General features: G+C 37.8%; 1 long non-coding RNA gene across 1 annotated transcript in view; it reads right to left on the bottom strand.

Annotated features, from left to right (window-relative positions):
- Nucleotides 1-12,345, bottom strand: part of LINC01934 (long intergenic non-protein coding RNA 1934) — a 275,717-nt gene that overhangs the window by 125,118 nt on the left and 138,254 nt on the right. The window contains exon 3 of the long non-coding RNA NR_130784.1: nt 11,459-11,607. This is a non-coding gene — a long non-coding RNA (long intergenic non-protein coding RNA 1934). The remainder of the gene's footprint in view (nt 1-11,458; nt 11,608-12,345) is intronic.

Raw genomic sequence — 12,345 nt, 5'->3', positions numbered from 1 at the left:
AATGTTCTCAAATTTTTAAATCATGTTTTTACATTTGATGCATGAACCTCAAAATTATTTTCATTCCATGTGGTGCTGATCTAATGTCAAGGTTTGGATACTGTTGACAATCTCCAAACAAAAGAAGAGATTTCTGTTTTAGTAATTGATCCCAGTTGCTTTTAGAAAGTAGGTTCTCATAATTTAAAAATGTCCAGTTTCACAAGGAGAATTTTTTTCAGCCTACACACATCTGTATAGATTGTCCATCGTCTAAATCACAAAGCAAGATTCTGATTTTTAATTTGTTCTGGCATGAAATTAGGTGCAACATCTGTTTTGCACATGTTTTACCTTTTTATCCCTTTTGCTCATTACTGCAGTTTTCCTACCCAAAGATTTCCAACTGAAAATGTTTTTGAAACCTTGATCTGTATTCTTAAAGGTAAGAAAATTTTTTAAATTAGTTTTCTGTGCTTAAAAAATTAATAAACGTGTTACATTGCCAAAGTGAGTAAATCCTCACTTTAGTAAGGTGATCCTCACCAAATTATAAAAAAGAAGCACTTACATATCACTGTGTCTAAAACTGGCTTCTCTTTAGCAAGGTGGTGAGGAAGATATAACGTATTACTGAGGTGTTACCATGCCCTCCTGACATAGCTGTAGTTTTGCCTCGGATGAGGCAATGTGGACACCATACCCTCCTGCATAGGTTCTGCTTTGGGGGTTGGCCAGAGCTCTGTCTCCCTGAACTCCATCCAGCCGAAGCCTGTGACTCCCAAAAAGGTAAGAAAGAGGGAAAATGGGTTGAGAGGCTGTTACTGATATGCTGCATTAGAAGATGAAAACTTCATAGTAAAATATCATAGGTGGGGACAAAAGAGAACAGTATATTCTAAAAAATTTTACTGAATCATTTTTTTTTTCACATACAGTCAGGCAGCCATGGGGATATGTTCTGAGAAATGCATTGTTAGGTGACTTCATCATTGTGCAAATATCATAGAGTATTCTTAGACAAACCTAGATGATATGGCCTATATACACCTAGACTATGCAGTATAGCCTATTGCTCCTTTGGCTGCAAACTTGTCCAGCATGTTACTGTATTGAATAATGTAGGCAATTTTAACACAATGGTAAGTATTTATGTATCTAAATATAGCTAAATATTGAAGAGGTACAGTGAAAATATGATATGAAAGATTTAAAAATGGTATGCCTGCATAGGACACTTACCCCTGAATGCAGCCTGCAGGACTAGAAGTTGTTTTGGGTGAGTGAGAGAGTGAGTGATGAGTGAATGTAAAAGCCTAGGATATTACTGTACACTACTGTAGACCTAATAAACACTGTGCACTTAGGCTACACTACATTATTTTTAAAAACTTTCTTCACTAATAAATGAACCTCAGCTTACCCTAAGTTTTAAATAAACTGTAATTTTTAAAACCTTTTGACTCTTTTGTAATAACATAACTTAAAACAAAACACATTGTATAGGTATACAAAAATATTTTATTTATATCTTTTCTATAAGCTTCTTTCAATTTTTAAAATTTCATCTTTATACTTTTAAACTTTTCATTTAAAATGAAGACAAAAACAAACACGTTAGCCTAGGCCTACATGGGGTCAGGATCATCAATATCACTATCTTCCACCTCCACCTCTTGTCCCCCTGGAAGGTCTTCAGGAGCAATAACATGCATGGAGCTGTCATCTCCTATGATAACAATGCCTTCTTCTTCTGGAATGCCTCCTGAAGGACCTGCCTGAGGCTGTTTTACAGTTAACTATTTTTAAATAAATAAAAGCAGTACATGCTAATAATGATAAAAAGCATAATAAATGCATAAGCCAACAACCTAACATTTTATTATCATTATTAAGTATTATATACTATGCATAATTAAATGTGCTAGACTTTTATACTACTGGTATGGCAATAAGTTTGTTTACACTAGCATCACCACAAACACTTGAGTAATGTGTTGTACTATGAGGCTACCATGTCCCTAGTGATAGAAATGTTTCAGCTCCATTATAATCTTAGGGGACTGCCATTGTATATGCAGTTCGTTGTTGACCGAAACATTGATATGCAGCACATGACTGTATTTTTCCTTTCTTCTGCCCTCAGATTTTCAGCTGCTAAGCAGATTTCTTTTCTTTTCTTTTTTGTTTTTCTGAGACAGAGTTTCGCTCTTGTTGCCCAGCCTAGAGTGCAATGGTGCGATCTTGGCTCACTGTAACCTCCATCTCCTGGGTTCTAGTGATTCTCCTGCCTCAGACTCCCAAGTAGTTGGGATTACAGGCACACATCACCATGTCTGGCTAATTTTTGTATTTTTAGTAGAGACGGGGTTTCACTGTGTTGCCAGGTTGGTCTTGAATTACTGACCTCAGGTGATCCACCTGCCTCGGCCTCCCAAAGTGCTGGGATTACAGGTGTGAGCCACTGTGCCCAGCCTAAGCAGATTTCTAAATTCCTTGCTTAGAGATACTTGAAACCCTTTCCTTCTCTCCCTAAAGATTCTGCTGGGTGATGGGGAGGGGAGGAAAGAGGTAGATGGCTCTGAGAAGACTAAGAGGGGTAGGAGAGATTCCTTGGGATTGGAGAAAAAAACTGTGTGGGTCCCTTGTTAGTGTGTGTGTGTGTGGGGAGGGTTTGTCTCCAGGGTCAGAAGTCACATACATATGATACCATTGTGTGAAAACAATAACCATCATTCACCAGCGTCCAGAAGGAAACCAAAATAAATATACCTGAAAATTAAAGGAACTTGTATTTAAATAGTTCGCTCTTCTTCTAGTCTATAATATTAAAACTTTTATGAGCATTGTTTTCCTTTTAAATGAAAAACATTCACAAAATGAAGATGATAACCTTTTTTAGCTGTTTTCCAAAAGAAGGCCAGTTGGAGCCACATAATTTAGGTGCCTCAAGCTATCTTTCTTCTAATTACTGCATGAATTCATCTCATCATCATTATCAGGTAACTTTAAATGTACCCACACAGGCTGAAGCATTCCTGGAAGTGCATTTCTCTATGGAAGATAATGCTAGACACCACAATAAAAGAAGCCAAATGTGTTAAAATGCAAGGTGAAAATTAATAAGAAAGAATTCTGACTATCTTTTAAAAATATTCAGTATTGTACAATTGTGCACATTTATCAAATTTCTGGTTTCCCCCACATAATTAGAAAGCTCTAATTTGAAAGATATCACTTTAAATAAATATTCTGTTGTTCAATTCTTTGAGAAATCTCAGAAGCTGAAAATACTAATTTATGATAGGCGAGGAAATCACTCACCAAGAAAAACAACCTGATATCCACCCTAAAACAATGCCGTGGTTTGGTTCAACTATCCCTTACTAAGCCACTTTCAAAATTAACATTGAGAAACGGTAAATTTTTTTGACAGTATTCCTTTTGCAAAACATTAAATAACTACAGAAAACACAAAGATTTCTAAATCTTCCTAATTATGTCTTCACTTATATGCATTTTTAATGAAGAACTCAAAGTAATTGCTAACTCTGGAGTAGTGGAGTATACAAATCCATTTATTTTGTTTAAAAAACATGCAGCTGTCTCTTTGAGAGCCTTTAGGAGGTGAAGCTATATGACTCCCCACCGTGGGACATTCTTAGCACTTATAGCTTACACACAGAATTTTCCACCACTTGTTCTTTACACTTAGTAGTGAATGGCTAAATCTGGAAATACTGTTTCTTGCTACTAAAAAAATAGCACTACACTCGGTAGTCTAAAGACTTGTTTTATATTCAGCAAATTTCTGAAACCCAGAGTGTAAAATTGGGTGTAAAAAGTTCCATGACAGCCAACTATTGCATCTTTTAAGTAGCTTTAAAAAATAAACTTTTAGAGCAATTGCAGATGTTTTTGTTTGCCAGCTTAGACCTGCATTACTTTTCATCAATATCAGGAGGGTTCTGAATGAATGCAGGGTTATGTCCTAGGCACTTAACAAAATATATGTGAGCACAACTATAAGTAATGAAACATTTTCTCTACCACATATGGACATGTTGGCATTCTATCCAATTATCTTACATGATGATATGGTTTAGCTCTGTGTCTCCACCCAAATCTCACCTTGAATTGCAATAATTCCCTCTTGTCATGGAAGGGAGCCGGTGGGAAGTAATTGAATCATGGGTGGGTGGGTTTTTCCTGTACTGTTCTCATGATAGTGAATAAGTCTCATGAGATTTGATGATTTTATTAAGGGGACTTCTCCTGCATAAGCCCTGTTGGCTGCCACCATGTAAGACGTTTCTTTGCTCTCCCTTCCTCTTCTGCTATGATTGTGAGGCCTTCCCAGCCATGTGGAACTATGAGTCCATTAAACTTCTTCCCTTTATAAATTACCCAGTCTCAGGTATGTCTTTATTAGCAGCATGAGAACAGACTAATACACATGGCAAGTACATGGTATTTTCAGCAGATAATTTTGGGCAGTGACATGGGACAAGGAATTGGCAGCATCTGGGGGTGGGAAAGACTGTATCAGCACTGGCTGTTCCTGTGGTCACTTATCTTCCTTTGAGCCCCATTCCTCACCTCTGTAGAATGGAGATTGTATTAATTATAATAAATCTGATGTGATGATTGACTGCTAATATCATATATGGAAAATATGGAGTCCAGGGTCTCGTGCAGAGTCTTTGATGACATTGAGATTATTGTGGCTATTACTAAGAGGATGACGACTGCAGCACATGCTGCCTGTGTTCCTCCCAATTCTCTCAGATCTCTTTTGATCTGCCTGGATATGGTGCTTCCATTTTCAAAAGCCATACCTGTGATACCTCCTCAGAGGGCTACTCTCTGGCTGCCAGAGCCTATGATTGTTGTGAACAGAGAACAGCGAGTAGCTGAAAACTTACATCCTTACCATTAATGGGACTTGTGTGGGTGTAAATATCCCATTTACCCAGCACCTGCCAGGGTGATCTCTGAGGTATGGCCTGCATGCCTCCAGAGCTTCTTCATCTCACTAGAACTTGGCTTAATCCACCCTGGCTTGGCCTTCTCTCCTTCCCAGTCCCACTGTCTGTTCCTTTTCTTTTTTTCCCTGGGAATATTTCTTAGTAACCTACTTTTCCACAAATTCTCATCTGAGAGTCTGCTTCTGGAGAGCCCTAATCTAAGGTAGCAATGAAGAAAGAGGTCAAGAAGAAGAGAAGAAAGATGGATGTAATGGTTAATTTCACGTGTAAATTTGACCGAGCCACAGGTACCCAGTTATTTAAGTATTATTTAAGTGTGTCTATGAGAATGTTTCTGGGTGAGATTACTATTTGAATTAATAGACAGAGTAAAGCATATTTTCTTCCAATGTAGGTCTCATCCAATATCTTGAAGGCATTAATAGACCAAAAGACTGAGAAAGAGAGAATCCACTCTCTCTGCATGATGGTCTTTGAGTTGAGACACAGGTCTTCTCCTGCCTTTGGACTTGTTGGACTTGGACTGGAACGTACTCTATTGGCCCTCCTGGTTATCAGTCTTCAGACTCCAGAATTGCGTGATCCAATTTAATAAATCTCTCTCTCTCTCTGTCTCTGTGCGTGTGTGTGTGTGTGTGTGTGTGTGTGTAGTGGAGGATTGAGAAGTAAAGTTATTTCTAATACTCTTCACTTAGAGTAACAATAGAGTGTGTGTGTGCTGAATTAGAGTAAGAATAGACTGTGTGTGTGTGGTGAATTACAGTAAGAATTAGAGTAAGAATAGAGTGTGTGTGTGGTGAATTACAGTAAGAATGAGAGTAAAAATAGACTGTGTGTGTGGTGGGAAGGACAGTGAGATACGATAGAGAGATTATTTCTGTGGTGGCAGATGGAGCCAGAACCAGCCCTCCTACATATCCCCAAGGAATATGTAGGGGCACAAATCATATTATGGATCAGAAGATTCACATTCTTTCCCTGGTGGATTTCCAAGGTGTACAATTACTATGCATCTTACAACATTTTTCTATATTAGTCTACTAGTCTATATTAGTCTGCTCCTTTGAGCTGCTTAAGGTCAGGGGCTATGTGGTCAGGAGCCACCTGTGAATGCCCAGTGCTCACTGAATGGTTGATGGTTAAGTTAGTGGTTGAGTAAATTAATAGTAAGAACTTCACAGAGTCATCTCATCAATGCCATATTTTGAGTATTCTCTTTTATAACACATTTCTTTAACTAAAGAGTGACCACATAATATGATGAAAAGAACGGGGGATAGGAACCAGGAGCCCTGAACCATGATTATTGTGTGTTGCTGCCAACTGATCTGACTTGGAAAATGTTGTCAGTTTTTTGAGCTTTAGTTTCCTCACTAAAATATTAAAATATTTGAATTTCTAATATTATATTAGCTTTAATATTATACATTTGCCACTAGAAAAAAATAAGCTTGAGAAGAGTAGAAAACAGAATTTTTCTATTTGCATTTTGTATGAAATCTAGAGTGATGATAACCAGTGATCAATCTTGGCAACTTGAGTGTATAAAATTTTTCAGCCCTCTTTAAGATTACAAAACTATAAATTCAAAACTACAAAGGTAAATATTAATTTAAATGAGAAAAACGCTACAAGCTACATAATTGAAAGGTTAAAAATGCAGCAAGCTACATAATTGAAAAGTTAGAAAATAGCATAGATATCAAAAATTCAAGAAAATGTATTTCAATAATTAACCACCTGACACAACTTTATTTTCCCCAGTTTTTTTTGGCTGCATACTCTTTGATTGCTTCTCCATATGATAATGATTTTACAATGTTATAGAGAATGTAGATTTAGTCTTTGCTTTTGTATGACTAAAAGGTTATTTTTTAGTTGATAACATAGAAAATTTTTAATTGATTTTGACATCTGAGCTTCTAAATTTCATTACAATATGCTAAGTGAGTTTTTGGCATTTTGAAGCTTCTGCCAGTCTTCTGTCTTTTACTTTGTTTTTTTGGATTCCATCAACATACTTCATTTCAGTCATATTTGAATGTTGAGCTGATGAACAATCATAAAAAACATACAAAATTAAGAGGAAATTAAGTTATACACTATAGCAAACCAAATGCTTTCTTGAAATGCCACCCTGTAGTATGAGCCAGTATGACTGTATAATCAAATTCCTTTTTTACCATATATATCAACTTATTGATGTATGTGCTCATTTCCTCTCCTACAAAGTAAATGGATTTTACAGGGTGGTGTTTTTAACTTTTCATGATGAAAACTTTCAAATATGGAACAATAGCACAGTATGCATCCATGTGCCCACTGCCTGGATTCAACAATTGTTAACATTTTGCCATATTTACTTCATTAACATATTATGTTTACATTTCACAGTGCCACTGAAAATGTTGCATACTTTCTCTGAAGCTGCCAAACTTCCTTAGGTAAAAATGAGTGAGATTCTCTAGAACGTGTTTAGATGTATAAAACATGCAGCATCTCATTCAGAGGCATTCAGTGTAGTACAACAACAGGTTTTCTGATTATTATGATAAACTATATTTTGTGCAATTCCTCGAATAGTATGTATAGTGCATATTTAACTGTATGCATTATGTTAACCAGTATATTCCTGACAGGAAAGAACTTGCATTTTCATTAGGCATGCATGACAACAAAACCGTCACCTTTCTAATTTACATATCTACTGACTGGATGTCTTTTCCCAGATTCACTGCAGTTCCATTCATGTCCATCTATGTGTTTCTTCCATTCCTCACATTTCTGATACCAGGCACTGCAGGATGGTGTTTTAAGACTTCTAGCCATGGATAGTAAGAGTATTCTTAGAAGTCATTTGTACCTCTGAAGAGCTAACCATAATCTCACTATGCACAGCAGTGATGGCAAAAAAAATTATTTATCCAATCTCTCTTTATATGGAATCCCAAAAATGTTCAAAGCCCTTCCTATGTTGCCTGATATGGGGATGTGTGTATATAGGAGGTTGGGGTGTAAGGGAGGAGAAGCCAGACTGAAAAGAGATAATGGTCTTAGCCAGTTATGGCTAAGATCGTTTTCCTTGTCAATAAGTGAGAAGTCTTGAAGTTAAAGTTGCATATGCTTCATGGTATATCTGTCTCTGCTCCTATTTATCTCCTCACATATGTCTGATAAAAATGATGTCTAAGACACCCAGAGATAGGAGGACTCCAGAATCATCCTGTGAATGTCCCTATGGTTATGTGGAAAAATGTCCTCAATTTCTGAATATACAAGCTGAAGTATTTACGATGAAATGCCCTGACAGTTAAAATTCACTTTAAAATGGCTTGGCACATTTTAGATAGATATGCATGCATTAGTGAAGCAAATATGGCAAAATGCTAGCAATTGTGGAACACAGATGGTGTGTATATGGATGTCCATTGCACCCTTTTTCTACTTCTCTGTGTGTTTGAAAATTTTCATAATAAGTCTAAAATAAGGTACTACTTAACAACCATTTTCTCAACAGAAGATGAAACTGAGGTCCAGAGGAGCCAAGATACTTGCCTAAAGTCACAGCACACACTGCTTCTCCTTTTCTCTGGCTGCTTCTCCTGGTGAGATGATCCAGAATTCCTACCCTAGGGGATTTTCCTGCCATAAAGGCCAGGTTTGCATTTGACTTCTCATTCTGTAGCATCTCCCATTCAACACAACATAAGTGTACAGAGTTTGTGGTAATAAAATGCTAAGAAGTATGATTTTTGCCTTCTTCTATTCATGAGTAAGGCCTGGGTAGTAGAGGTAACTAGATGTATTAGTCCATTTTAACACTGCTATAAAGAACTACCTGAGACTGGGTAATTTTTGAAGAAAAGAGGTTTAATTGACTCACAGTTTTGCAGGCTGTACAGGAAGCATGGGTGGGAGGACTCAGGAACCTTACAATCATGGCAGAAGGCAAAGGAGAAGCAAGCACATCTTACCATGGCAGAGCAGGAGGGCGAGAGACATGAAGGGAGAAGTGCTACACACTTTCAAACAACCAGATCTCCTGAGAACTCACTCATTATCACAAGAACAGCAAGGGGGAAGTCTTCCCCCATGATTCAATCCCCTCTCATCAGACCCTTCCCCTGACACAAGGGGATTACAATTCAAAATGATATTTGGATGGGGACACAGAGCCAAATTTTATCACTAGACTGGAGCTCTGTTTCCATTGACAAGCCTGGAAGTTGACAGAGAGCACTTTACTGAACCTGCTGAGCTGACCTCCAAGAGTAAATTTGCTGGTGACATGTTAATTCTGGTGTTTTGTTTGTAAATGTGCTTAGCAGTTTTCTTTTTCTATTTTTTGAGACAGAGTCTTGCTCTGTCACCCAGGCTGGATAGCAGTGGCGTGATCTTGGCTCACCGCAAGCTCTGCCTTGTGGGTTCATGCCATTCTCCTGACTCAGCCTCCCGAGTAGCTGGGACTACAGGTGCCTGCCACCATGCCTGGCTAATTTTTTGTATTTTTAGTAGACACGGGGTTTCACTATGTTGGCCAGGATGGTCTCTATCTCCTGACCTCGTGATCCACCCGCCTCGGCCTCCCAAAGTGCTGGGATTACAGGTGTGAGCCACTATGCTCGGCCAGCAGTTTTCTTTAATAAGCTCAATGGGATATTATTCTGCCCCCCAAAAAACAAATCACTTGGATAAATCCAAAGGATACATCCTTCTATGAGGAATTTTTGCAACCACATGAAAATGGACAAGGGAAAAAGGAATAGAAAGATAGGCTTACTCAACCTCAGCTACACTCTCTATAGAACTCAGTGGTTTTGTTGTAAAGAAATTTCTTGGCAGTTGGTCAGTTCACAAATATGTATTGAATGTGTTTTAGGGATCCACATCTATGCTAGTGGATGTTGTCACAGGGTGATAGGAACCGAAGAAAAGATGCCAAGAGCAAAATGGTACAGGTGAAGAATACAAGAACTCACCTGTGAGCAAATAGCCCCCAGAGCTGGGGACATAGTAGGAGGCTTGTGGCGGAGCAATAACCTTCAGACACCCAAATAATGACAGATACCACTCAGGAGTCTGTCAGATCTTAGAAATGATTACTTTTGCTATTCTCAAGTTTTTAAATAAAATCTCTGCCCCCAGGACTGCTCCTAGAAAGACTGGCTCTATGCCTGCTTGCTCACCAGGTCAAATAACCAACACAAAACACTCCTTTATATTCCTGAAGCATTTACTGTGAGACTCAGTGAATCAAAGGTCTCAGGCATTCCCATGCCTAGCAGGTTAAATGAATCCTGCCTGAGAGCTTTTCCTTGCAGCTAGCTTCTGGTAATGCAGCAGTGAACAAAAGACAGCCACTGCCCGTATGGAACTTACAGTTCATCAATCAGGGAGCCATCAAACAATATATATATTTTAAAAGCAATTGTCAATTATTTCAAGTGCACAGAGCTTTGTAAAAGAGAAAAATGAAACCTGAAGCATATAGACAGGGAGATCTTTCTACTTATCTATTCATCTATCTAGCCAACACACACACACACACACACACACACACACACACAGACACACACTTTACTGTAAACACCCTGTGAGCCTTGCTCTTAGGAATAACACCTTTGGTGAAAATTAAAAATAACTTTTAAATAATAGTACTTTAAAGTAAAACTAGATTTTAAAATAGAGAAATCATGAATCACAGACATCTGGGGTTCATGAGGACCCAAGAGTCTAAAAAAATGAGGAACTTGAAGGTCACCGGTTTTACAGGATGGATCTTTCTATTCAATTAACTTACTGCAGCCACAGCAGAAGGGTTGTGTCAATATCCATAATAATATTAAACATATACTACGTTCTAGGCATTATTCTAAATGCTTTGTACATAGGAGGAGGAAAATTAAGCACAGAAAATTTAAGTGACTTCCCAATACACAGAGTCAAGATTTGAACATAGGAGTCTACCTCCAGAACCATTATTTTAGCCATTTATTTCTATTATTATAGTCATTTAACTTTTCTCTGTCTTTTGTCACTACCAACTAACCAGCTCATCCTCTGCTCTGGGTATTATACACACTCATTTATTAGGAGGTTATACTTCACAGCTTCTGCCACTGACTTTTCTCCATCAATATCTTTTTGCTCCTTTTCCCATTGACAACTGATTTTCTCTCTCTCTCTAGAATTCCAGTCAAAATTTCAGAAAAAGAAAAATCTAATTGTTTCTATCAGAAAAAAGTCACTATAGTAAATTACCTCCTTTTTCTATCTTTGGCTGTCCTCAGGTCAGATGACTCTCTATTTTAACTGTCCATTGCTATGTCACAAGTTGCTCCAAAACCACAGTGGTGTAGAACAGTGACTTATGCTTATTAATTATTGAGGGCTAGGAACTGCAAGGACTACTTGCCTCTGCTTCACTATGTCTGACTTCCTCTGGTTTGAAGTATGAGGGGCTATAATCATCTGAAGGCTCATTCACTCACATGTCTGGTGACTGACACTGAGAAGACTCCATCAGTTGGGGACAGGCACAGCTGGGCCTCTCTACTTCTGTGCACTGTAGTCTCTCCAAATGATGTCTCTAGGATGGTAACTTCAGGGCATATGGATTTCTTCATGATACCTCAGGGTTCTTAAAGTATGCATCCCAAGAGAAAAAAGATGAGGGAAAATGTTGACTTTTTTATGACCAAGTTTTTGAAGTCACAAAACATCAAGTCCCTCTTTGCCATAGCCTCACCCAGACTCAGACGAAAGAACTCTATTTTTTTCTCCTATGGTTCAATCTATTTTATAATTATTCATATTATTTATGTATTCATCTATTTTATAATTTTTTCTATGGGCTTCACTGGCCTCAAGGTTATAAATGTGCATCTTCCCTAGAAGTCCACTAGCCCAAATGTTAGAAGTATGATTATCCCACCATGAAATTAGCAATTGTCTGCTCTAGTTACTGTATTATTCCCCAAACTTAGCCTGAGGTCCTCGTATAGTATGGAGCTTCAGGACTGTGAAGCAAAGGGGCTATTTATTTTCAATGTGATATACGTTTATTTTGAGAGAGAAGTAACTGAATTATTCCACATAGAGAGTATTTGGGGTACTCCTCTCCATCCAATGCCTCAATTATGTGGTATCTATTCCCAACCACCTGGAGAAGAGTCAGACAAAAAATATTTGCTTCAATTTAGGATTCGGCAAAAAAGACGCTGCAGATTCTATTCTGTCCTGAGACAAAAGAGACTCTATTTGTTTTGTATTCAAAATAATTAATTTGCATGTGTTTTACAAGTATGATTGTAATATTTCTTCTATTGTTACAGTTCAATTGTAAATTCTCCTATATAAAATTATGGTTATGTTCCCT

This window comes from Homo sapiens, chromosome 2 (genome assembly GCF_000001405.40).
Source record: "Homo sapiens chromosome 2, GRCh38.p14 Primary Assembly".
NCBI classification, from domain to species: Eukaryota; Metazoa; Chordata; class Mammalia; order Primates; family Hominidae; genus Homo; species Homo sapiens.
Note: the sequence above shows the minus strand (reverse complement) of the source record. Positions and strands in the feature narration are given on the sequence as shown.